Source organism: Homo sapiens, chromosome 14, assembly GCF_000001405.40.
Source record: "Homo sapiens chromosome 14, GRCh38.p14 Primary Assembly".
NCBI classification, from domain to species: domain Eukaryota; kingdom Metazoa; phylum Chordata; class Mammalia; order Primates; family Hominidae; genus Homo; species Homo sapiens.
In genome coordinates, this window is record NC_000014.9 from 103348083 (window position 1) to 103372791 (window position 24709).

At 45.3% G+C, this 24709-nt stretch overlaps 1 pseudogene, besides 3 other annotated features; it reads right to left on the reverse strand.

The window, feature by feature from the left end:
- Positions 6450–6744: a silencer, noted in NCBI's record as "tiled region #8941; HepG2 Repressive non-DNase unmatched - State 12:CtcfO, and K562 Repressive non-DNase unmatched - State 13:Ctcf". NCBI's record gives its function as "represses a minimal TATA promoter and a strong SV40 promoter by Sharpr-MPRA in HepG2 and K562 cells {active_cell/tissue: HepG2 | K562}" and the evidence as "EXISTENCE:reporter gene assay evidence [ECO:0000049][PMID:27701403]".
- Positions 13223–14422: an enhancer, noted in NCBI's record as "MED14-independent group 3 enhancer chr14:103827642-103828841 (GRCh37/hg19 assembly coordinates)". NCBI's record gives its function as "activates an origin of replication core promoter dependent on BRD2, BRD4, P300/CBP and CDK7 cofactors, and independent of MED14, by STARR-seq in HCT116 cells {active_cell/tissue: HCT116}" and the evidence as "EXISTENCE:reporter gene assay evidence [ECO:0000049][PMID:35650434]".
- Positions 16133–16762, reverse strand: HMGB3P26 (high mobility group box 3 pseudogene 26; annotated as a pseudogene).
- Positions 23967–24624: an enhancer, noted in NCBI's record as "H3K27ac-H3K4me1 hESC enhancer chr14:103838386-103839043 (GRCh37/hg19 assembly coordinates)". NCBI's record gives its function as "activates a minimal SCP1, AML or CMV promoter by ChIP-STARR-seq in primed H9 embryonic stem cells {active_cell/tissue: H9 hESC(primed)}" and the evidence as "EXISTENCE:reporter gene assay evidence [ECO:0000049][PMID:30033119]".

A 24709-nucleotide genomic window follows, 5' to 3' on the forward strand; every position in this document is an offset into this window, starting at 1 on the left:
GGTTGCAGTAAGCTGAGATCGCACCACTGCACTCCGGCCAGGGCGACAGAGCAAGACTCTGTCTCAAAAAAAAAAAAAAAGAAATAACAGTTCTATCACTGAATGCACCGATGAAATACTCTCAAAATATATAAAGCAAAAGTTTACAAAAGAGCCGTAGTGAAATACCACTACACACCCACCAGAACAGCTGAAATTTGAAACTTGACAACACCAAATAGATGGTGAGGAAGTGGGGCCACTGGAACTCTTACATACTGTGGGTTGGTATGTAATATGATACCAACACTTTAGGAAAAGTTCTAACAATTTCTTACAAAAACTGAACATACACCTGCCTTCTAAACCCACAATTCCACTCCTAGAGAACTCCACACTTAATAGAAATGAGGCCAGGCGCTGTGGCTCACGCCTCTAATCTCAGCACTTTGGGAGGCTGAGGGAGGTGGATCACGAGGTCAATAGATCCAGACCATCCTGGCCAACATGGTGAAACCCTGTCGCTACTAAAAATACAAAAATTAGCTGGGCATGTGGCACACGCCTGTAGTCCCAGCTACTCGAGAGGCTGCGGCAGGTGAATCACTTGAACCCAGGAGGCGGAGCTTGCAGTGAGCTGAGGTCGTGCCACTGCACTCCAGCCTGGTGAAAGATCGAGACTTTGATGCAAGAAATACATAAATAAATAAATATGAAAGCAAGCGTTCCTGAAAACACTTATGAGAATGGCTATTGCAGCTTTTTTTCATAATAATCCCAAACTGTAAACATCACAAGGACCTATTAACAGGAGAATGGATAAACAAACTGTACCATATGCTCAAAATTGGATATTAACAATAAAAAGGAATGAATTACTAATGTGCACAACAAAAGTTATGAATCTCAAAAATGTACTAAATGAAAGAAGCCTTAACAAAGAAGAATACGTATGTACAGTTCCATTTATATGAAGTTCTAAAACAGGCTACACTGATCTGTGGTGAAGAAATCAAGACAGTGATTGCTTCTGTGGATGGTGTGGGGTGGGGATTGATGGGAAAGGGCACAGGGGAACCTTCCACGGTGACAGCAATGTTTTATATCTTGATAGAAGTTTGGGTTACATAGGTGTATGGGTATATGCATTTGTCCCAAATTTGTTCATTTCATTGCATGTAAATTTTACCTTAGGCCGGGCACGGTGGCTTATGTCTGTAATCCCGCACTTTGGGAGGCCCAGGTGGCTGGATCACCTGAGGTCAGGAGTTCGAGACCAGCCTGGCCAACATGGTGAAATCCTGTCTGTACTAAAAATACAAACATTAGCTAGGTGTGGTGGCAGGCATCTGTAATCCCAGCTACTCGGGAGGCTGAGGCAGGAGAATCGCTTGAACCCAGGAGACAGAGGTTACAGTGAGCCGAGATCGGCCATTGCACTCCAGTCTGGGCGACAAGAGCAAAACTCTGTCTCAAAAAATAAAACAAAGTACAAAAAACTAGCAGTATGTGGTGGCACATGTCTGTAGTCATAGCTACTCAGGAGGCTGAGATGGGGAACTCGCTTAAGCCTGGGAAGTTGAGGCTACAGTGAACCATGATCATGCCACTGCACTTGAGCCTGGGGGACAGAGTAAGACCCTGTCTCAAAAAAAAAATAGATAAAATAGATATACAAGATATATATTGTATATACAGATATTTCAATTAAAATATATAAAATATGAAATTATGTATTTCATTACATGTCTAAGATTCTCAGAGTGGCCATGGCAACCAGTGTCTCTCAAGATGGCAGCTGTGGTGTCAGCATGGGTCCCAGAATGGGTGGAGCAGAGCGCCCAGTGGACCCTCAAGGGAGCTGGAACATCAGTGAGAAATCACCTTTGTTGTAGGAAGTCACTGAGACAGGGACAGTGTGGTCAGCAGAGCCTCCTTGACTGAGGTGTGCCCGACGCTGAGCGTGTCCTTTTCTAAGTTCTCCTTTCAGTCTACGTCAGTCTGCATCAGTCTATGTCAGTCCATGTCAGTCTATGTCAGTCTACGTCAGTCCACGTCAGTCTATGTCAGTCCACGTCAATCTACATCAGTCTATGTCAGTCTATGTCAGTGCATTTCAGTCTACATCAGTCCATGTCAGTCTACAACAGTCTACGTCAGTCCACGTCAGTCTACGTCAGTCTACATCAGTCCATGTCAGTCTACGTCAGTCCATGTCAGTCTACGTCAGTCTACGCCAGTCTGTCAGTCTATGTCAGTCTATGTTAGTCTATGTCAGTCCATGTCAGTCTATGCCAGTCTATGTTAGTCTATGTCAGTCTATGTCAGTAAGTAAAAGGGATTTTTGCTGAAACATTTCTTTGTCATGCCTGTGGCTAGCCGCCCAGATACCCTCTACAGAAAAGAGTCAATGTTATCAGAAATAGTTTATGCATATTCAAGCAAAATCATACTTTTTCTCCTTTTTTATAACACAAACGATTGCATGTTTTACATCCTGTTCTGAACCCTGTTTCTTTCGCTTTATATTTTGGAAATTATTCCATAGTAGTACATGTATATTTTCCTAATCAGTTTTTATAGCAAAATAATATTCCATTGCTAGAAGGTAGCAATATTTATTTATTTAACCAGTGCCCTATTGATGGACCTTTGAGAAGTTTCCAGTCTTTTGCTATTACAAACAATACTGGGTTAACCTTTAGTATACTGGAAAAAAGAATTATATAATAATTTACCTCGGGTCCAAAGGACCCTTTTAATTTTATTTATATTTTAAGTAGCCTCATAATAATTTACAGAAGAATAAAGGGATCATAACAAACAACCTTATTAGAAATTATAATAAGAATGTAAGTGTAGGAAACCCAAATTTCAATCCCAAATTTTCCTGTTTTGAAAGTATATATACCAAGAAAGGGCTGGGCACGGTGGCTCACACCTGTATCCCAGCACTTTGGAGGCCGAGGTGGGTGGATCCCTTGAGGTCAGGAGTTCGAGGCCAGCCTGGGCAACATGGCAAAACCCCATCTCTACAAATAAAACAAAACAAAACAAAACAAAAAAAATAGCTGGGCATGATGGTGCATTCCTGTAGTCCCAGATACTTGGGGGGCTGAGATGAGAGGATCACTTGAGCTGAAGAGGCACAGGTTCTCAGCTGAGATCGAGCCACTGCACTCCAGCCTGGGTGACAGAATGAAACGCTGTCTTAAAAAAAAGAAAGAGGTGGCTGGGTGCAGTGGCTCACGCCTGTAATCCCAGGACTTTGGGAGGCTGAGGCGGGCGGATCATCTGAGGTCAGGAGTTAGAGACCAGCCTGGCCAACGTGGTGAAACCCTGCCTCTACTAAAAATACAAAAATTAGCCGGGTGTGGTGGCGGGCGCCTATAATCCCAGCTACTTGGGAGGCTGAGGCAGGAGAATCGCTTGAACCCGGGAGGCAGTTTGTGGTGAGCCGAGATTGTGCCATTGCATTCCACCCTGGGTGACAAGAGTGAAATTCTGTCAAAAAGAAAGAAAGGAAAGAAAGAAGGAAAGAAGGAAGGAAGGAGGGAAGGAAGTAAGGAAGGAAGGGAGGGAGGGAGGGAAGAAAAGAGAAGAGGAAAGAAAAAAAAGAAAAGAGAAAAGAAAGAGAAAGAAAAAGAAAGAAAAAAAGAAAGAAAGAAAAAGAAAAAAAAGAAAGAGGCCAGGAGTGGTGGCTCACACCTATAATCCCAGCACTTTGGGAGGCCAAGGCAGGTGGATCATCTGAGGTCAGGAGTTTGAGACCAGCCTGGCCAACACAGTGAAACCCCATCTCTACTAAAAATAAAAATTAGCCGGGTGTGGTGGTGGGCACCTGTAATCCCAGCTACTTGGGAGGCTGAGGCAGGAGAATTGCTTGAACCCGGGAGGCGGAGGTTGCAGTGAGTCAAGATCGCGCCACTGCACTGTAGCCTAGGCAACAAGAGCAAAACTCTGTCTCAAAAAAGAAAGTATATATACCAAGAATGGACTGAATACAATGACTCACATCTGTAATCCCAGCACTTTGGGAGGACAAGGTGGAAGGATTGCTTGATCCCAGGAGTTCAAGACCAGCCCAGGCAACATAGCAAGACCCTGTCTCTGTTAAAAAAAAAAAAAAAAAAAAAAAAGACTAGGCAATGTCCTTTGCTTTCCACTTACTGCTCATGCCCTGTCTTGTATGTTGAATCTAGAACATATCCATCTTGTAAAAACTGCTTCCAGATTTCAACTACATCTTTAGTAGGTTTTAGCTTATCATGACTTCTCACTCTTCTCTTTGAATCTGTGAAACCCAATACTTTTGAAAACTTTGACACTCATAATTTTGTTGAGAGGATGGCCATCTTCTTTGTTCCATAATTGTGAAATATTGTCATGGTTAGATTTATAAACCCCAATTAAATGGTCAATCCAATGAATTGTTTTCATTTCTTCATCATCTATTTCCTTCCAATCACCCCCGTGTATCCAACTTTATCATCCACTTACTGAATGTATCAAGTAAAGTATGTACACAAACATCGTAAAAGATGAAGAAATATTATCATGCATCCTTTTAACAAAATGTATCCCATTTCTTGTCACAAAACGTTGTGTTGCTAGTTCTTCCTGTTGAAGGACTGAATATGGATATGAGAATCCATAATTCAGCCGGGTGCGGTGGCTCATGCCTGTAATCCCGACACTTTGGGAGACCGAGGTGGGTGGATCACTTGAGCCCAGGAGTTCGAGACCAGACTGGGCAACATGACAAAACTCCGTCTCTACAAAAATTACAAAAAGTAGCTGGGCATGGTGGCTCGAGCCTGTAGTCCCAGCTATTAGGAAGGCTGGGGTGGGACTGCTTGAGCCTGGGAAGTCAAGGCTGCAGTGAGCCAAGATCACTCCACTGCACTCCAGCCTGGGCAACAGGAGCAAGATCCAGATTTCCTTTTTGTCCTCAGATGCATATTGTTCACTCTTTGATGCTTGCATTTAAGAGAACTCATCTAGGGTATGGTCATCTGAAGAGTCATGGAGGGTTTTTTGTTTTGTTTTGTTTTGTTTTTTAGGTGGAGTTTTGCTCTGTCGCCCAGGCTGGAGTCCAATGGCACGATCTCGGCTCACTGCAGCCTCCACCTCCCAAGTTCAAGTGATTCTCCTGCTTCAGCCTCCCGAGTAGCTGGGATTACAGGCACGTGCCACCATGTCTGGCTAATTTTTGTATTTTTAGGAGAGATGGGGTTTCACCATGTTGGCTAAGCTGGTCTCAAACTCCTAACGTCAGGTGATCTGCCTGCCTCAGCCTCCCAAAGTGCTGGGATTACAGGCATGAGCCACTGTGCCCGGCCAGAGATTTCTTTTCTATGATCCATTTTACCATCACAATTGGCATCTTGACACAGTGCTGTTCTCTGTCTCTGCACACATCTCCTGATTGTCTAAGAAGCATGAGCCCCGTGAGTGTTGACTGCCAGAGTTCACGCCCACCTTCTCTCCAGCCAATTGCCTTGGAAGAATAGGTACTGCCTTGTCTGATAAGTCAGCAGCGAATGACAGACTCACAATGTGAAATGCCCATCCCTTGCTTTGATGTGGGATGAACCCAGATGCAATTTTTGCTCCAAGCTTTCCATGGGACCAGACTGAAGCCACACGGACCCCACCCGAGACCACAGCCGTGCTTACCCTTTTTCCTTTGCCCTCTCCGATTTTCCTCACTCTCTTCTCCTTAGAAAGCTGATATAGTTTGGGCCGGGCGCGGTGGCTCACGCCTGTAATCCCAGCACTTTGGGAGGCCGAGACGGGCGGATCACGAGGTCAGGAGATCGAGACCATCCTGGCTAACACGGTGAAACCCCGTCTCTACTAAAAATACAAAAATTAGCCGGGCATGGTGGCGCGCGCCTGTAGTCTCAGCTACACGGGAGGCTGAGGCAGGAGAATGGCGTGAACCCGGGAGGCGGAGCTTGCAGTGAGTCGAGATCGCGCCACTGCACTCCAGCCTGGGCGACAGAGCGAAACTCCGTCTCAAAAAAAAAAAAAAAAAAAAAAAAAAAGAAAGCTGATATAGTTTGGATATTTGTCCCACCCAAATACGTTTAAATGTATCTCCAGTGTTGGAGGTGGGGCCTGGTGGGAGGTGACTGGATCATGGAGGTGGATTTCCCATGAAATAGTTTAGCATCATCCTCTTGGTGCTGTTCTCATGATAGTGCATGAGTTCTCACAAGATCTGGATGTTTAAAAGTGTGCGGCACCTCCCACCCACTCTCCTGCTCCCGCTCCTGCCTGGTGAAACACCTGATCCCGCTTTGCCTTCCGCTTTTGCTTCCTGAGGCCTCACCAGAAGATGCTGGCACTATGTTTCCTATACAGCCTGCAGAACTAGGAGACAAATCAGCCTCTTTTCTTACAAATTACCCAGCCTCGGGTATTTCTTTATAGCAATGTAAGAAACGGCTGAATGCATGCACACTGTAATAAATTACTTTTACAAGAATCCCCATTGCAGGTGCCGCTTATAGGAACTTGACCTAGGATAGCTGGAACCAGAGCCATCCCATGAAGGAGACCGCAAGGATGGAATTCCTTAAGGGTGACTCACTGGCTGAATGGTAGTGAGGACCCAGCAGGTGGAATATTGACAGTCCCTGAAGTGTCCGAGCCCTGCAGTGGCTAAAACTTTCACCTGTGCTGCCCCGGGGGCACAGCAGCATCCGTTTATGGTCTTCCCAACAGCGATGTGAATTGTGCAGCTCTCTGTCACAATAGAATTCAAGACCTGAACCCTGGCTGCTGCAGATGTCCTGAGGCTGGATGTGATACTCATCATCTCCCTCCTCCCACTATGAGGCCATAGGTGTAGCTGAGGGAGAGGTGTTGGTACAATACTAGCAGATGACTCGGGTGTCTGAGCCACCTGCTGTGCAGCCCATTGCGCCCCCTGGTCCTGCCATGCTGTACTGCAGATGTACCACTTCCATCTCACTGTGGGTTACTGTTGGGTCCACCTGACCTGAAGACTTGGTGGGTCCAGCAGAATCAGCTCTTTTATTTATTTATTTATTTATTTATTTATTTATTTATTTATTTTTTGGAGATGGAGTCTTGCTCTGCCACCCAGGCCAGAGTGCAGTGGCATGATCTCAGCTCACTGCAACCTCCTCCTCCTGGGTTCAAGCGATTCTCCTGTCTCAGCCTCCCAAGTAGCTGGGATTACAGGCACCTTGCCACCACGCCTGGCTAATTCTTGCATGTTTAGTAGAGATGGAGTTTCACCATCTTGGCCAGGCTGGTGATCCTTCAGTGATCCACCTTCAGTGGTCACTGACCACTGACCTTCAGTGATTCACCTGCCTCGGCCTCCCAAAGTGCTGGGATTACAGGCATGAGCCACTGCGTCCGGCCAGAATGAACTCATCTTGGGAAGTTCTAGCCATCAGACAGTTTCTAGCAGGGTCCAGGAGCGCATCAGGGCTGCTTTTTGAATGGTTTGTAGTTCTCTGTTGTGTAAGGCACAGACTTTCTCCAGAACCCAGGGGGTCTGTACTGGGAAGTAGCATCTTTCCCAACCACAGCCCCCTCTAGTTCCATTGCACCTGCTGAGTCATGGGTGCATGCAGGAAGCTGCTCTTGTGGCAGCCTGGGCTGCTGGAGAGCTCTTTCTGCTCCTGGCCCAACGCAAAACCAGCAGTCTTCCATGTGACCTGATGAATGGGTTAAACTGTCCATGTGGAGGCTCCTGAGTCTCCGTAGGCTTTATCTCCAGTCCCCTGGATGGCATGTGTCTTACCACGGCATCTGCTCTGATTAACGTGACGCCCTCTATATGGTGGCCAACATGCTGTTTTGCAGAATGTCTAGATGGTTCAGGGTGGAGGAAGATAATGAGTATCAAGTACAGCCTCAGGGCATTGGCAGCAGCCAGACTGTGGTTCTTCCCACTAACTCTCGTCTTGTAAATGTCCCCAGAAAAGTGTGACCAACCAGAGTCACGGAGAAGTCGTGCCTGGTCGGGACCACCTGGCAGTGAGAAGTAAGTGGGTCTGAATGGGGCAGAAAGGTCAGAGGCTGGCCCCGGATGCTGTTGAAAGTGTCATATCAACACTGTGCTGATTCCCTTCAGGGTTCTTTTAGAGGAGGGAAATAAACATTTGCCTTGTTTTGCATATTTTTTCTTATGCATGCAGCCAAAACTCGTCAAAGCTGGTATATAGGGGAAGATAAATACCCCCAAGAACAACGTGAGTGTCAGAGAAATCTCCCGCCCAACATCAGAAGAGATAGCCTAGCCAGAGCAGCCCAAACACACCATGAGCAAAATGAAAGTAAACAGCTTGGTAGATATGCAAGCATACACAGGGCCACTACAAGGAAGCAAAAACGTCAGTGTCATGAAGCACCAAAAAATAAATAAATAAATAAAATAAAATTTAAAAGTCTTCTTTAATCTAGAAAGAAGGTTGCTATGGACTAAACAGTATCCTCCCAAAATTTCTATATTGCAGACCAAACTCCCAGTGTGATGGTATTTGGAGATAGAGCCTTTGGGAGGTCATAGGGTTAGATGAGGTCAAAGGGTGGGGCCTTCATGAGGGGATTAGTACTCTTATAATAAGAGACACCGGAAAGCACTTCTGTTTTTCTTTTCTTTTCCTTTTCTTTTCTTTTTTTTTTTTTTTTTGAGACACGATCTTCCTCCATTGCCCAGGCTAGAGTACAGTGGCCCAATCTCAGCTCACTGCAGCCTTGACCTCCCGGGCTCAAGTGATTCTCTCACCTCAGCCTCCCAAGTAGCTGGGACTACAGGCATGTGTCACCATGCCCAGCTAATTTTGTTAATTTATTTATTTTTTGTAGAGACAAGGTCTCATTATGCTCCCCAGGCTGGTCTTGACTCCTGGATTCAAGCAATCCTCCTGCCTCAGCTTCCCAAAGTGCAGGGATTACAGGTATGAGCCACCACACTTAGCACAGAAAGCATTCTTGAGTGTGTTCTCTCTTCTCTCTCTTCTCTTCTCTTCTCTCTCTCTCTCTCTCTCCTGTCTCTCTCTCTTCTCTCTCTTCTCTTCTTTCTCTTCTCTCCCTCTCTCTCTCTCTCTCTCTCTCTCTCTCTCTCTCTCTCTGTCCCCTGTGGGGGTCACAGGAAGAAGACAGCAAGCCAGGAAGAGAGCCCTCACTGGGAGCTGATCATGCTGACACCACGATCTTGGACTTTCCAGCCTCCAGAAGGACAAGAAAATAAATCTCTATTGTGTAAGCCAATCAGTCTATGGTATTTTGTTATGGCAACTAAAGCAGACTAAAGATACATTTCTGCTAAATGCAATGTGTGATCCTCAGTTGGAGTCTGATTTTTTAATTCAACCTGCAAAGGAAAAAACAAACAAGGACAAGTATAAAAACAGATATGGTGAAATTCAATCCAAGGCAGAAAAGCAGGTGTCCCCAGATCCATCTCCCCATAAAAGAGCTCATAACAGTGGCTCACGCCTGTAATCCCAGCATTTTGGGAGGCCGAGGCAGGTGGATCAGTTGAGGTCAGGAGTTCGAGACCAGCCTGGCCAGCACAGTGAAACCCCATCTCTACAAAAATACAAAAATTAGCCGGGCATGGTGGCAGGCACCTGTAATCCCAGCTACTCGGGAGGCTGAGACAGGAGAATTGCTTGAACCTGGGAGGTGGAGGTTGCGGTGAGCCAAGATCGCGCCACTGTGCTCTAGCCTGGGCAACGGAGCAAGACTCCATCTAAAAGAAAAAAAAAAAAAAGAGCTCATAAGACTGTGACGTGGTGAGGCAACAACTCAGAGACAGGGCAGGAGCAGACAGAACCAAGATAATAACACTGCACATCTAATGGATAATGAAACAGCAAGAGGCCAGGCACGGTGGCTCACACCTGGCAGCTCCCACCTTCCAGCACTTTGGGAGGCCAAGGCGTGCCATCTTTTGAGCTCAGGAGTTCGAGGCCAGCCTGGGCAATATAGTGAGACACCGTCTCTAAAAAATATACAAAAATTAGCAGGACATGTCTGTGCATGCCTGTAGTCTCAGCGACTCTGGAGGCTGATGTGGGAGAATCACCTGAGCAAGGATGGGGAGGCTGTGGTGAACCAAGATGGGGGCAGGAGAATTGCTTGAACCTGGGAGGCAGAGGTTGCAGTGAGCCGGGGTCATGCCACTGCACTCCAGCCTGGGCGACAGAGACAGAGTCTGTCTCCAAAAAAAAAAAAAAAAAAAAAAAATACAAGCTTTGGAATTGGCCTGTAGTAACTGAACTTTCTGTTTGAGGTTTTTCTGGTGATTAACCTCTAACTACTATATAACACGGGTACATAGCTATAAGTTGCTGTCACTTTGAGACATTATCCCTTGGGGTCTCAGGTGACACCTGTAGAGGTGACTCACCACCCCATCCCCCCACATCTTCCTCTCAATGTGGTTATTACTATTTTCTATTATTATTTTCATTTTTTTTTAAACCGAGTCTCACTCTGTTGCCTAGGCTGGAGTGCAGTGGTGTGATCCCAGCTCACTGCAACCTCCGCCTCCCAGGTTCAAGCGATTCTCCTGCATCAGCCTCCCTAGTAGCTGGAATTACAGGCATGTACAACCGCTCCCAGCTAATTTTCGTTGTTGTTGTTGTATTTTTAGTAGAGATGGGGTTTCACCATGTTGGCCAGGCTAGTCTCCAACTCCTGACCTCAAGTGATCCGCCTACCTTAGCCTCCCAATGTGTTGGGATTTCAGGTGTGGCTCACACCACGCCTGGCCATTATTATTATTTTCAATCCCTCTATTGGTTCCTTCCATAAGCTTAAACATAATATTTGCGATTTTATTACTGGTTCTTCTATCCATAGAGGCTTCTCTTGATTCCCAACAAGGGAAGATGAAGATATTTGTTTCTCTAACCTTGGCTTTATAACCTCCACCTTCCAACTCCCAACTTAAGTCGTCTGTACTATTACTTTTATACTGTCAGAATTGATAGTATTTATAATCTGCTTGCAGTAGAAATAAACTGGTTTTTTGTTGTTGTTGTTGTTGTTGGGTTTTTCTTGAGACAGGGTCTCACTCTGTCACCCAGGCTGGAGTGCAGTGGTGCCATCACAGCCCACTGCAGCCTCGACCTCCTGGGCTCAAGGGATCCTCCCACCTCAGCCTCCCAAGTGGCTGGGACCACAGGTCAATGCCACCACACCTGGCTAATTTTTTAATTTTTTTGTAGAGATTGGATCTCACTATGTTGCCCAGGCTGGTCTTGAACTCCTCAACTCAAGCAATCCCCCTGCCTCAGTCTCCTAAAGAGTTGGGATTACAGGCGTGAGCCACTGCACCTGGCCCAGAATAAAGCTTTCTGTCCTTTACTTATAGGTCGATTCTAAAGGCGAAGATTGGGGCAACACTTTTCTTTTTTCTTTTTTTTTTTTTTTTTAAGATGGAGTCTCGCTCTGTCGCCCAGGCTGGAGTGCAGGTGGCACGATCTCAGCTCACTGCAAGCTCCGCCTCCCAGGTTCACGCCATTCTCTTGCCTCAGCCTCCTGAGTAGCTGGGACTACAGGCGCCCGCCACCACGCCTGGCTAATTTTTTGTATTTTTAGTAGAGACGGGGTTTCACCGTGTTAGCCAGGCGATCTCCTGACCTCGTGATCCACCTGCCTCGGCCTCCCAAAGTGCTGGGATTACGGGCGTGAGCCACCGCGCCCGGCCAACACTTTTCTTTATAAGATAATACAAAATGTCATCACTGTAGAACCAAGTTGTGCAGTGCCACATTTTTCTTTATTCAACTTTTGCTTTTTTCCCTAGAGTTGGAAGTTGCCTTTTTTGTTTTGTTTTGTTTTGTTTTGAGACGGAGTCTCGCTCTGTCACTCAGGCTGGAGTGCAGTGGCGCGATCTCTACTCACTGCAACTTTCACCTTTGGGCTCAAGCAATTCTCCTGCCTGCCTCAACCTCCCGAGTAGCTGGGATTACAGGCACTCGCCACCACGCCTTGCTAATTTTTTGTATTTGTAGTAGAGATGGAGTTTAACCATGTTGGCCAGGCTGGTCTGGAACTCCTGACCTTGAGCGATCTGCCCGCCTTGGCTTCCCAAAGTGTAGAGATTACAGGCGTGAGCCACCAAGCCCGATGGCAAGTTGCTTTTCTTTCTGTGTTGCGTTGTCTTCCTTTACTGCATCTCAAGCCTCTTCCAGAATCTCAAGGGTGCTCTGGCATCTGTGGAATCACCTTGTTTTCAGGACGCCTCTCTCCCGCTGCTGTCGTGCCCTGCTCCAGTCCGAGCCTGCACCCACTGTCTCCCAGGTCTTCCTTCATTGCTGTCTGAGTTGAATCTTCTGTTTCCTGGATCCCATGTGTTCCCCTCTCTGCCATCGCAAATCACCAAGGAACCTCTCCAGAAAGGGTATGTGGGAGAGAAATTATTCTGAGTCCATGTGTCTTAGGTTTTGCTGTATAACAAACTACCACAAAGCACAGTGGCGAAACAACCATTTATTTCTTCCTTACATATCTGCAGCTCAACTGTGGTTCAGCGGGTCCAGGCCAGGCCTGGCTGGGCTTGACTCTGGACTGCGGATCAGCTCCCAGTCTGCTCCAACCATCTTTTGTCCCACGTGAACCAGCAGCTACCAGACTGATATCTCTCTTGGTGAAAGACACAAGCCCAGGCCCATGGCAAGCATATTTCAAGTTTCTGCTGGGTCACACACATCTGCTTCCATCTGATTAGCCAAAGCAAGTCACACGGCTCAGTCCAACAGCAACGGAGCAAGGAAGTCGGCACCTCCCACAGAGCTCAGGGGAAAGGAGTGAATATTTGCTAGGTAATAATAGAATCTTCCACAGCATGTAGTTCTAAAAATGTCTTTATTCTAGGCCTGGCACGGTGGCTCACACCTGTAATCCCAGCACTCTGGGAGGCCGAGGTGGGCAGATCATCTGAGGTCAAGAGTTCAAGACCAGCCTGGCCAACATGGTGAAACCCCGTCTCTACTAAAAATACAAAAATTAGCCGGGCATGGTGGCAGGCACCTGTAATCCCAGCTACTCGGGAGGCTGAGGCAGGAGAATCACTTGAACCCAGGAGGCAGAGGTTGCAGTGAGCTGAGATCACACCATTGCACGCCAGCCTGGGCAACAGAGCGAGACTCCATCTCAAAAAAAAAAACAAGTTTTTATTCTGCCCTAACATTTTGTTGGTAAATTAGCTAGGTATAGAATTTCAAGTTTCAGATTATTTTTATTGAGAACATTGAAGGCATTGCTCCAGGGTCCTCAAGCATCCAATGAGGCTGATAAATTTGATGTGATTGGATTTTCATTCCTTAGTAGGTTAATTTCTCTCTCTCTGAGAGCTTTTAGAATTGTCCTGCTTTTTACATTTTTCTTTGCTTTCTTTCTCAAAGTACTGTTTTATGTATGTTAAAGAATATATACAGTCGGGCTGGGCAAGGTGGCTCATGCCTGTAATCCCAGCACTTTGGGAGGCTGAGGCAGGCAGATCACCTGAGGTCAGGAAAAAAAGAAAAAAAGACTTGATTACTATGTATATAGTATTTTTTTGTATACCTACATACCCATGATAAAGTTTAATTTATAAATTAGGCACAGTAAGAGATTAACAACAATAACTAACAATGAAATAGAACAATTATAATAACCTACTGTAATAAAAGTTAAGTGAATGTGGTCTATCTCTCTCTCAAAATATCTTATTATACTTTATTCACCCTTCGTATGATCATGTGAGATGATAAAATGCCAGCATCACTACTCGTGCCCTTTGGGGCCATTATCAATGAAAACAGGAGTACTTGAACACAAGCACTGTGACACCGTGAGAGCCGATCAGAGATGGCTGCTGAGTGACTAATGGGGCAGGTAGCATAGAAAATGTGGATACGCTGGACAAAGGGATGATTCACATCCTAAGCAGGATGGAGCAAGCTAGCAAGAGATTGCATCATGCTCCTCAGAATGGTGCACAGTTTAAAACTTATGAATTGTTTACTTCTGGAATTTTCCATTTCATATTTTTGGGCCACAGTTGACCATGAGTAACTGCAACCACAGAAAATAAAGCCTTGGGTAAGGAGGGGCTGCCGTATCATACTCTGCCCCTATACGGCTCTGCCACCACCCTCTCAGCTAATGATGTCAGAAGTTATACCTTTATACATTGGGTGCCAAAAAACATAGACTTATTACTGGCTTTTTACTATTAGTCTTTTAAATCATGTATAAAAGGAAAAGTGGTGTTACAACCCAAAATGACAATAATACTAGCTTTTGTAATTGTCCATGTATTTACCTTTATAGAAGATCTTTATTTCTTCATAGGACTTTGAGTTATTGTCTAGTGTTCTTTAGTTTATTTTTTTTTAATTTTTGCTTTCTTCCTTCTGCCTATATAATGGCAAATATCCTTTAATTTCAATCTGCAGAAGTCCCTTTAGCATTTTCTGTAAGACAGATCTAGTGGTAATAAACTCTTTCTGCTTTTGTTTATCTGGGAATACCTTCATTTCTTCTTTTCTGAGGGCAGTTTTGCCAGGTATAGGATTACTTTTGTTTTGTTTTGTCTTCTTTTTTAAGAGACAGAGTCTCACTCTGTCAGCCAGGATGGAGTGTAGTGGTGTGACCATAGCTCACTGCATCCTCAAACTCCTTAGCTCAAGTGATCATCCCTGCCTCAGCCTCCTAAGAAGCTGCAACTACAGTTGTGCACCAACATGCCTGGCTAATTAAAAAAAAATTTTGGGGGGGGATGAGGTCTTGTTATGTTGCCCAGGCTGGTCTTGAACTCCTGACCTCAAGTGATTCTCCCACCTCAAGCCTCCTAAGTAGCTAGAATTACAGGAAGGAGCTAACTTGTCCAGCAGGATTCTTGATTGACAGTTTTTTCTTTTATCTCTTCAAATGTACCAACACATTGCCTTCTTGCTGCCAACGTTTCTGCTGAGAAATCTGCTGTTAATCTTACTGGAGATCCCTTATATGTAACAATTTGTTTCTCTCTCCCTGCTTTCAAGATTCTCTCTTGGCTCACACCTGTGGCTGGGTGCAGTGGCTCACACCTGCAATCCCCATACTTTGGGAGGCCAAGGCAGGAGGATTGCTTGAGTCCAGGAGTTTGGGACCAGCCTGGGCAACATAACAAGATCCTATCTCTATAAGATTAATTAGTTAGTTAATTAATCTATAAGATTAATTAGTTAGTTAATCTATAAGATTAGTTAGTTAATCTATAAGATTAATTAGTTAATTAATTAATTACTTAAAAATTAAAGATTCTCTCTGTTATCTGTGGTTTGGGCAGTTTGATTACAGTGTGTCTCTGTGAGGGCCTCTTTAAATTCATCCTACTTGGAGTTCACTGAGCTTCTTGGATGTTTAGATTCATGTATTTCACCAAATTTGAGATGTTTTCAGCCATTATTTCTTCAAATAATCTCTTATTATTTATCGATTAAAAACAATAATAATCTCATTTTCTTTTTTCTTTTGAGATGGAGTCTTGCTCTGTTGCCCAGGCTGGAGTACAGTGGCACAATCTCAGCTCACTGCAATCTCTGCCTCCTGGGTTCAAGTGATTCTCCTGCCTCAGCCTCCCAAGCAGCTGGGATTACAGACACCTGCCACCACTCCTAGCTAATTTTTGTAGTTTTAGTAGAGACAGGGTCTTACCATGTTGGCCAGGCTGGTCTTGAAGTCCTGACCTCAAGTGATCTGCCCACCTCAGCCTACCAAAATGCTGGGATGACAGTTGTGAGCCACTGCACCCAGCCAATAATTTAATTTTCTCTTTCCCTCTCTCTGTTCTATTTCTGGCACCCTGACAGTGTGCATTCTTCTACTTGATGGTGTCCCACAGGTTTCTTGGACCCTGTTTACTCTTCTTCAGTCCTCTTTCTTTCTGTTCCTCAGACTTAATCATTTCAGTTTTCTTATCTTCAAGTTTGTTGATTCCTTCTTCGGCCTGTTCAAATCTGCTTCTGAATCCCTCCATGAATTTTTCATTTCAGTTATTGTACTTTTCAGCTACAGAATTTCCTCTTGGTTCCTTCTTGTGTTCACTATATTTTTATTGATCTTTCCATTTTGTCCCTAAATAATTTGCTTGGCTTTGTCTGCGTCCTTCTTTTCTCTTTTTGACAGTTAAACGATTTTTTTTTATTCATGATCCTCCTCTTTCTTCTTCTTCCTCATCTTCTTCATATTCTTCTTCCACATTTTTCCAGGCAACTTTAGCAGGACCCTTTGTGCCATCAAAGTTTCCTTTAGACTTAAAGTCAACAACATCCTTCTCATACTTCTCCTTCAGCTTTGCCGCCTTTGTGATGTAAGGCTGCTTTTCACTGTCGTTTAAGTTATTCCACATCTCACCCAGCTTTTTGCCACATCTCCAGTAGAGATGCCAGGGTTTGTGGATTTGGTCTTGGGGAGGAATTCTGAACAGAACAGAAATAATATAGAGGATGGCCTTTTGGGGGCATTAGGAAACTTCTTCTTGCCTCCCTTAGCTGGTCTGTTATCCTCCATTTCCCGATCATAGCATACTTTATCTGCCTTTGCAATTTCATCAGATTTAGACTTCTCTTTCCCACTGTCTTGCACCTCTCAGAGGACTTCTTGGAAAATTCTGCAAAATTGACAGGGACCTCTGGGATTTTCTTCTATGTCCTTCTCTGCACATCTGCACAAAGAAGGCATAAGCAGACATTTTGTCCTTTGGTTTCCTGGGATCACGTTTAGCCATCCTGACTGTATTGTTCACTAGTCTCTATCTGCATCTTTCTTTAGCTCTCTGAGCATTATTAGTCAGACAAAATGCTTTGTCTAGTAAGCATTAAAGACAAAGCCAGCCAGGTGCGGTGGCTCACATCTGTAATCCCAGCACTTTGGGAGGCCAAGGCGGGCAGATCACTTCAGGTCAGGAGTTCGAGACCAGCCTGGCCAACATGGTGAAACCCCGTCTCTACTAAAAATACAAAAATTAGCCGGACCTTGTTGCAGTTGCCTGTAATCTCAGCTACTCAGGAGGCTGAGGCGGGAGAATCGCTTGAACCCGGGAGGCAGAGGTTGCAGTGAGCCAAGATCATGTGACTGCACTCCAGCCTGGGCAACAGAGCAAGACTTTGTCTCAACAACAACAATAATAGCAACAAAAACAAAGCCTCAGAAAAGGCTGAATAAGTTTCAGGCCATTGTTATAATGTCTTTGTCTAGTAAGTTTGCCGTGTGGTTCTTCCTTAGAGATGGTTTCTATATATTTTTTCCCTATGAATGAACCCACTTTCCTGTTTCTTTGTATGCCTGTGATTTTTTTGTTGAAAACAGGATTTTGAATGTTACAATATGGTAACTGTGGAAATCAGGTTCTCTCCTTTACCCACGTCTGTCTGTCTGTCTTTTTCTTTCTTTCTTTCTTTCTTTCCTTCCTTCCTTCTTTCTTTCTTTCCTTCTTTCTTTCTTTCAAGACAGAATCTCACTCTATTGCCCAGGCTAGAGTGCAGTGGGACTATCATGGTTCACTGTAGCCTCTACCTCCTGGGCTCAAGCAATCCTCTCATCTCAGCCTCCCACCCAGCCAATATTTTTTTTTTTTTGTAGAGACAGGTTGTCACCATGTTGCCCAGGCTGGTCTCAAACTCCTGGGCTCAAGCAATCTACCTGCCTCGGCCTCCCAAAGTTCTGGGATTACAGGTGTGGGCCACCATGCCCAGCCTGTTTTTCTTTTTAAATTGTTGTAAGGTGTCTCTGTGCAGGGGATGAACTTGAGGTGTAAACTTGAGATTGTCTCGGGTCTTTTCTGAGGCTTTGTCTTTCCAGGCATGAATGGTGACTTTCTAAATTCTCCTGTATACGTGGTTGCTTTTGAATGTCCTAGTCCTTAATTGTTTGGCCACTAAAAGGAGAAAAGGGAAAAATTAAGGGTAAAAAAATAAAAAACAGGCCGGGCGCGGTGGCTTGGGCGTAAGCCTGTAATCCCAGCACTTTGGGAGGCTGAGGCCGGCGGATCATGAGGTCAAGAGATCAAGACCATCCTGGCCAACATGGTGAAACCCCGTGTCTACTAAAAATACAAAAATTAGCTGGGCATGGTGGCACACGCCTGTAGTCCCAGCTACTCAGGAGGCCGAGTCAGGAGAATCACTTGAACCCAGGAGGCAGAGATTGCAGTGAGTCGAGATCACGCCACTGCACTCCAGCCTGGCGACAGAGTGAGACTCCGTCTCAGTAAATAAATAATTAAGTAAAAAACAAAAAAACCTCAAAACCCAGCCTCTATCTCTTTCAATGCTCTGGAAGCTGCTTTAGCCAGTGGGGTTGTAACAATGGCAGTCCCCCCTGTGTCTGAACCTCTGCAATCAGAAGCAGCAGCCAGTGATGAGAATACACATCTCTTCTGGGCACGGTGGCTCACGCCTGTAATCCCAGCACTTTAGGGGGCTGAGGCAGGCGGATCACCTGAGGTCAGGAGTCCGAGACCAGCCTGGCCAACATGGTAAAACCCTGTCTCTACTAAAAATACAAAAATTAGCCAGGCATGGTGGTACACACCTGTAATCCCAGCTACTCTGGAGACTGAGGTGGGAGAATTGCTTGAACCCGGGAGGCGGAGGTTGCAGTGAGCCGAGATGGCACCTCTGCACTCCAGCCTGGGCGACAGAGCAAGACTTCATCTTGGGAGAAAAAAAAAAGAATACACATCTCCAGTATTTGGAGGACAAGGTTATGTGCTAACCCTGGGTGCTGCAAGCTATTCCAAGAATGACTGCATGTAGGGCTGAGGGGCTGGGGAATGCATAGCCACTACCATGAGAGGACACTGACCGAAATTAACCAGGATTCACATTCAAGCTGTTCTGGTTTGGATATTTGCCCCTTTCCAAACTCATGTTGAAATTTGATTGCCATTTTAACGGTATTACGAGTTGGGAGGTTTAAGAGATGATTAGGGCCACGTGTGGTGAGTCACACCTGTAATCTTAGCACTTTGGGAGGCTGAGGCAGGAGAATTGCTTGGGCCTGGGAGTTCAAGACCCGTCTAGGCAACATAGGGAGACCCCCTCGCTACAAAAAATAAAATAAAAAAATTAGCAGGACATGATGGCACATGCCAGCTACTCAGGAGGCTGAGGTGGGAGGATACTGGGGCCTGGGAGGTTGAGGCTACAGTGAGCTGTAATCATGCCACTGCACTCCAGCCTGGGAGACAGAGCAAGACCCTGACTCTAAAAATAAAATTTAAAATAAAGAATAAAAAATTTAAAAATTAGCCAGATGTGGTGGCACACACCTGCAGTCCTAGCTACTCAGGAGGCTGAAGTGAGATGATCACTTGAGCCCAGGATTTCAAGACTGCAGGGAGCTATGATCATGTCACTGCACGCTAGCCTGGGTAACAAAGCAAAACCGTGTCTCCAAGAATAAATAAAATAAAATAAAAATAACAGATGATTATGCCCCGAGAGTGGAGTGAATTAATTAATGCCATTATCTTGGGAATGCATTTATTATTATGGGAGTGGGTTAATTATAGTACGGAGAAGGCTGGGCACAGTGACTCATACCTGTAATCCCAGTACTTTGGGAGGCCAAGGTGGGAGGATTGCTTGAGCTCAGGAGTTTAAGACCAGCCTGGGCAACATAGTGAGATCCTGTCTCTACTAAAAATAATAAAACTAGCCAGGCATGGTGGCACATGCCTGCAGTCCCAGCTACTGGGGAGGCTGAAGTGGGAGGATTGCTTCAGCCCAGGAGACTGAGGCCTCAGTGAGCTATGATCACACCACTGCACTCCAGTCTGGGTGACAGAGTGAGACTCTGTCTCAGAAAAAAAGAAGGGGGAAGAGTTAAGCCCCCCTTTTACTCTCTCTTTCTCTCTCTCTCTTCTCTTTGCCCTTCTGCCATGGGCTGACACCATAAGAAGACCCTCATCAGATGTCAGCTCATTGATCTTGGACTTCCCAGCCTCCAAAACTGTGAGCCGATGGATTTATTTTCTTGTAAATTACCCAGTCTGTGGCATTCTGTTATAGCAGCACAAAAAGGAGTAAGATACAAGCCTTCCCCTGGAAACTGCAGGCCTTCAGATGGACTCCAGAGTTCCAAAATAGTTGCATCAGACAGATTCTGCCAGATTGTTGTCTAGATGGGGGCGACAGATTCCTGGCACTTTCTACTGTGTCATCTTCCATGATATCACTGCTATGTAAATAATTCTTACAACTCAATAATAAAAAGACAGCTCAATTAAAAATTGGGCTAAGCGTCTATATACACATTTTTCCAAAGAAAATATACAAGTGGCGGGCTGGGTGTGGTGGCTCACGCCAATAATCCCAGCACGTTGGGAGACTGAGGCAGGTGGATTGCTTGAGCTCAAGAGTTTGAGACAAGTCTAGCCAACATGGAGAAACCCCGTCTAAAGAAAAAAAAAAGAAGAAGACTGTTCTCCAGGCTCTGCAATGCCCTCTGTTGTCAATCAGGTATCCATGTGTATTGGTCTGCTTCGGAGTTTTTCTTGCTGGTTCACTGGACGATTTTTGTATTTGTGCACTAATCACACTGCCTTAATTACCATACTTTATAATAAGCCTTGACAGGCAGTGAGGTAATTGTCCTGACTTGTTCCTCTTCTTCTTTTTTTATTTTTATTTTTTATTTTTTTTGAGACAAGGTGTCACTCCGTCGCCCAGGCTGGAGTGCAGTGGCGTGATCTTGGCTCACTTCAAGCTCCGCCTCCCAGGTTCATGCCATTCTTCTGCCTCAGCCTCCCGAGTAGCTGGGATTACAGGCGCCCGCCACCACGCCCGGCTAATTTTTTGTGTTTTTAGTAGAGACGGGGTTTCATTGTGTTAGCCAGGATGGTCTCGATCTCCTGACCTCATGATCCGCCCACCTCAGCCTCCCACAGTGCTGGGATTACAGGCATGAGCCACTGCGCCCAGCCTGTTCCCCTTCTTTAGGAGAGTTTTTGGATATTCTCATTCTTTTGTATTTCCATATACTATTTATTTATTTATTTATTTATTTATTTATTGAGACAAGGTCTCACTCTTGCCCAGGCTGGAGTGCAGTGGCGCGATCTTGGCTCACTGCAACCACCGCCTCCCGGGTTCAAGCGATTCTTCTGCCTCAGCCTCCTGAGTAGCCGGGACTGCAAAAGCGGGCCACCACGCCGGGCTAATTTTTGTATTTTTAGTAGAGAAGGGATTTCACCATGTGGTCAGGCTGGTCTCGAACTCCCGACCTCGTGATTCGCCCCCGCCCCCCCACCCCGCCCCCGACCCCCACCCCGACCCTTGGCCTCCCAAAGTGCTGGGATTACAGGTGTGAGCCACCGCACCCAGCCTAATTTTTGTATTTTTGTAGAGATGGAGGTCTTGCCATGTTTCCCAGGTTGGTCTCGAATTCCTGGGTTCAAGCGATCCACCCGCCTCAGCCTCCCAAAGTGCTGGCATTACAGGTGTGAGTCCCTGCACCTGGCCTTTTTCTCACTCTTGACTTTTTTTTTTTTTTTTTTTGCAATTTTCTCTTTTTCTTTGGTCAGTTTCACCAGGGATGAGACTTTTAGCTTTGTTGATTCTATTATATGTTTGTTTTTTATTTCATTATTTTTCCTCTTTATTATTTCCTATCCTACACTTTCTTTGGATTTGGTTTGCTGTTCCTTTTCAAGTTTCCTGAGATGTTTGCATAGTTCATGGATTTTCAGCTTTTCTTCTTGTCTGAAAGAATTTGTATAGAACTGAAATAATGTCTTCTTTGATAATTTGGTAGAATTCACCTGAAAATTATTTGGGTTTGCTTTGATTTCCTTAAAAGTAACAGAGCTATTAACGTTCTATTTCTTCTTGGGTTGTTATGATGATACCGTTTTCAAGGAACTGATTGGTTTTGCATAAGCTTTCAAATTTATTGATGCAAATTTGTTCACTGAATTTCCTTATTTTTTAAATCTCTGAACATCTGTAGTTATATCTCCCTTTGTGTTTTCTAATGCTTACCCATGCTTTCTCTGTTTTATTCTTGGTTAGCCAGGCTAGAGTTTTGCCTTTTTTTTTTAATGAGTTTTTACAAAGAACTGTTTCTTGGCTTTATTGATCTAATTATATCTTTGGGATTTCATTAATTTCTGCTTACTATGTCCTTTTAACACTCTTTGGGTACACTGTGTTCCTCTTTTTTTAATTTATATTTATTTATTTATTTATTTATTTACTTATTTATTTATTTATTTATTTTTGGAGACAGGGTCTCCCTCTCTCACCCAGGCTGGAGTGCAATGGCTCAACCTCAGCTTACTGCAACCTCTGCCTCCCAGGTTCAAGTGATTCTCCTGCCTCAGCCTCCCGAGTAGCTGGGATAAGAAGCGTGCCACCACGCCCAGCTAATTTTTGTATTTTTAGTAGAGACAGGGTTTCACCCTGTTGATCAGGCTGGTCTTGAACTCATGACCTCAGGTGATCCACCAGCCTCGGCCTCCCAGAGTGCTGGGATTACAGGTGTGAGACACCACTCCCGGCCTGCATTCTTTTTCTTTATTATTATTATTTTTAACTCTGTCACATCTCAGGATGTGTTCTTTTTCTTTTCTTTTTCTTTTTTTTTTTTTTTTTGAGGCAGAGTCTCGCTCTGTCATCCAGGCTGGAATGCAGTGGCATGATCTTGGCTCACTGCAACCTTTGCCTCCCCAGTTCAAGTAATTCTCATGCCTCAGCCTCCCAAGTAGCTGTGATTACAGGTGGGCACCACCACGCCCAGCTAATTTTTGTATTTTCAGTAGATACAGGGTTTCGCCATGTTGGCCAGGTTGGTTTCGAACTCCTGACCTCAGGTGATCCACCTACCTCGGCCTCCCAAAGTGCTGGGATTACAGGCGTGAGCCACCTCGCCTGGCCCATAGATGCCCTTTATACAAAGTTCCTTTCTATTCTTAGTTTAAGGGTGTTTTTTTGTTTTTTGTTTTTATCATGAAATTGTCTCGGGGCCAGGTATGGTGGCTCACACCTGTAATCTCAGCACTTTGGGAAGCCAAGGTTGGAGAATCACTTGAGGCCCAGAGTTCGAGACCAGCCTGGGCAACATAGCAAGACCCCATTTCTAATTAAAAAAAAATGTTTTTAAAGAATGAGCCAGGTGTAGTGGTGCATGGTGGTATTCCTAGCTACTCAGGAAGCTGAGGCAAGAGGGTTGCTTGAACCCAGGAGTTTGAGGCTACAGTGAGGTATGCCTGTGCCACTGCACTATAGCCTGGGCAACAGAGCTAGACCCTGTCTCTAAAAAAAGGTGTTGCATGGCCAGGCATGGTGGTTCACGCCTGTAATCCCAGCACTTTGAGAGGCCGAGGCAGGCAGATCACCTGATGCCAGGAGTTCGAAACCAACCTGGGCAACATGGTGAAACCCTGTCTCTACTAAAAATACAAAAATTAGCCAGTCGTGATGCCACGTGCCTGTAATCGCAGCTGCTTGAGAGGCTGAGGCATGATAATTGCTTCAACCTGGGAGGCGGAGGTTGCAGTGAGCCGGATCCCGCCAATCCCGCCACTGCACTCCAGCCTGGGCAACAAGAGCGAAAAACTCCGTCTCAAAAAAAGGTGTTGCATTTTGTCAAATGCTTTTTCTGGGCCTATTCATATGATTATATTGTTTCTGGCCAGGCGCGGTGGCTCACACTTGTAATCCCAGCACTTTGGGAGGCTGAGGTGGGCAGATCACCTGACGTCAGGAGTTTGAGACCAGCGTGGCCAATATGGTGAAACCCCGTCTCTACTAAAAATACAAAAAGTTAGCCAGGTGTGGTGGTGGGTACCTGTAATCCCAGTTACTCAGGCAGCTGAGGCGGGAGAATCACTTGAACCCCGGAGATGGAGGTTGCAGTGAACCGAGATAGCGCCACTACACCCCAGCCTGGGTAACAAGAGCGAAACTCCGTCTCAAAACAAAACAAAACAAACAAACGAAAAACAGAGTCAGGAATGACAGTGTGCTGCTCAGGGCCAGGCCTGAGGAATGGAAGACAGTGGCACCATCACACACACACACACACACACACACGCGCGCGCGCGTGCGCACACACACACATGCACACACACGCGCGCGCACACACACATGCACACACGCACACACATGCACACATGCACACACATGCGCACACACGCGCGCACACGCACACACACGCACACACACGCGCGCACACAGACACACACACATGCACACACATGCACGCACACACACACATGCACACACACACACACACACACTAAGTCCTTTTAACATTTCAACCCTAAAATTGTAATTTTTAAAATAACATGCTTATAAAAAAAGAATCTCTTCCAAGTAGGTTTCTGTTAAAAACAGGGGGTTCAGGAAGTTTAGAGGTGTTGTTGTTTACGTGTTTTTTTTTGTTTTTTGTTTTTTGCTTTTTGTTTTTTTTTGCCTTCGGTGTAGATTGGAGGATTTGCTTTAACAGAATATCTTTTTGGCTTTACTGGCTAAAATAGCCAGTTCCTGCTTATTAATACTCAAACACATCAATTATTCATCTGCACTTGGGTATATTACACACGCCGAATCATCCATCCTCCTGCCCTCTTTGTTAAAGGAGGCTTTGAGGCCAGCAGCCCCACGGGGAAGGCGTATAGTTGGGACTCAGGGCTGACTCAGAGGGCCAGCCCTGGCCAGCTCATGTCTGAGGTCACATCCGAGGGAGAGGAGGC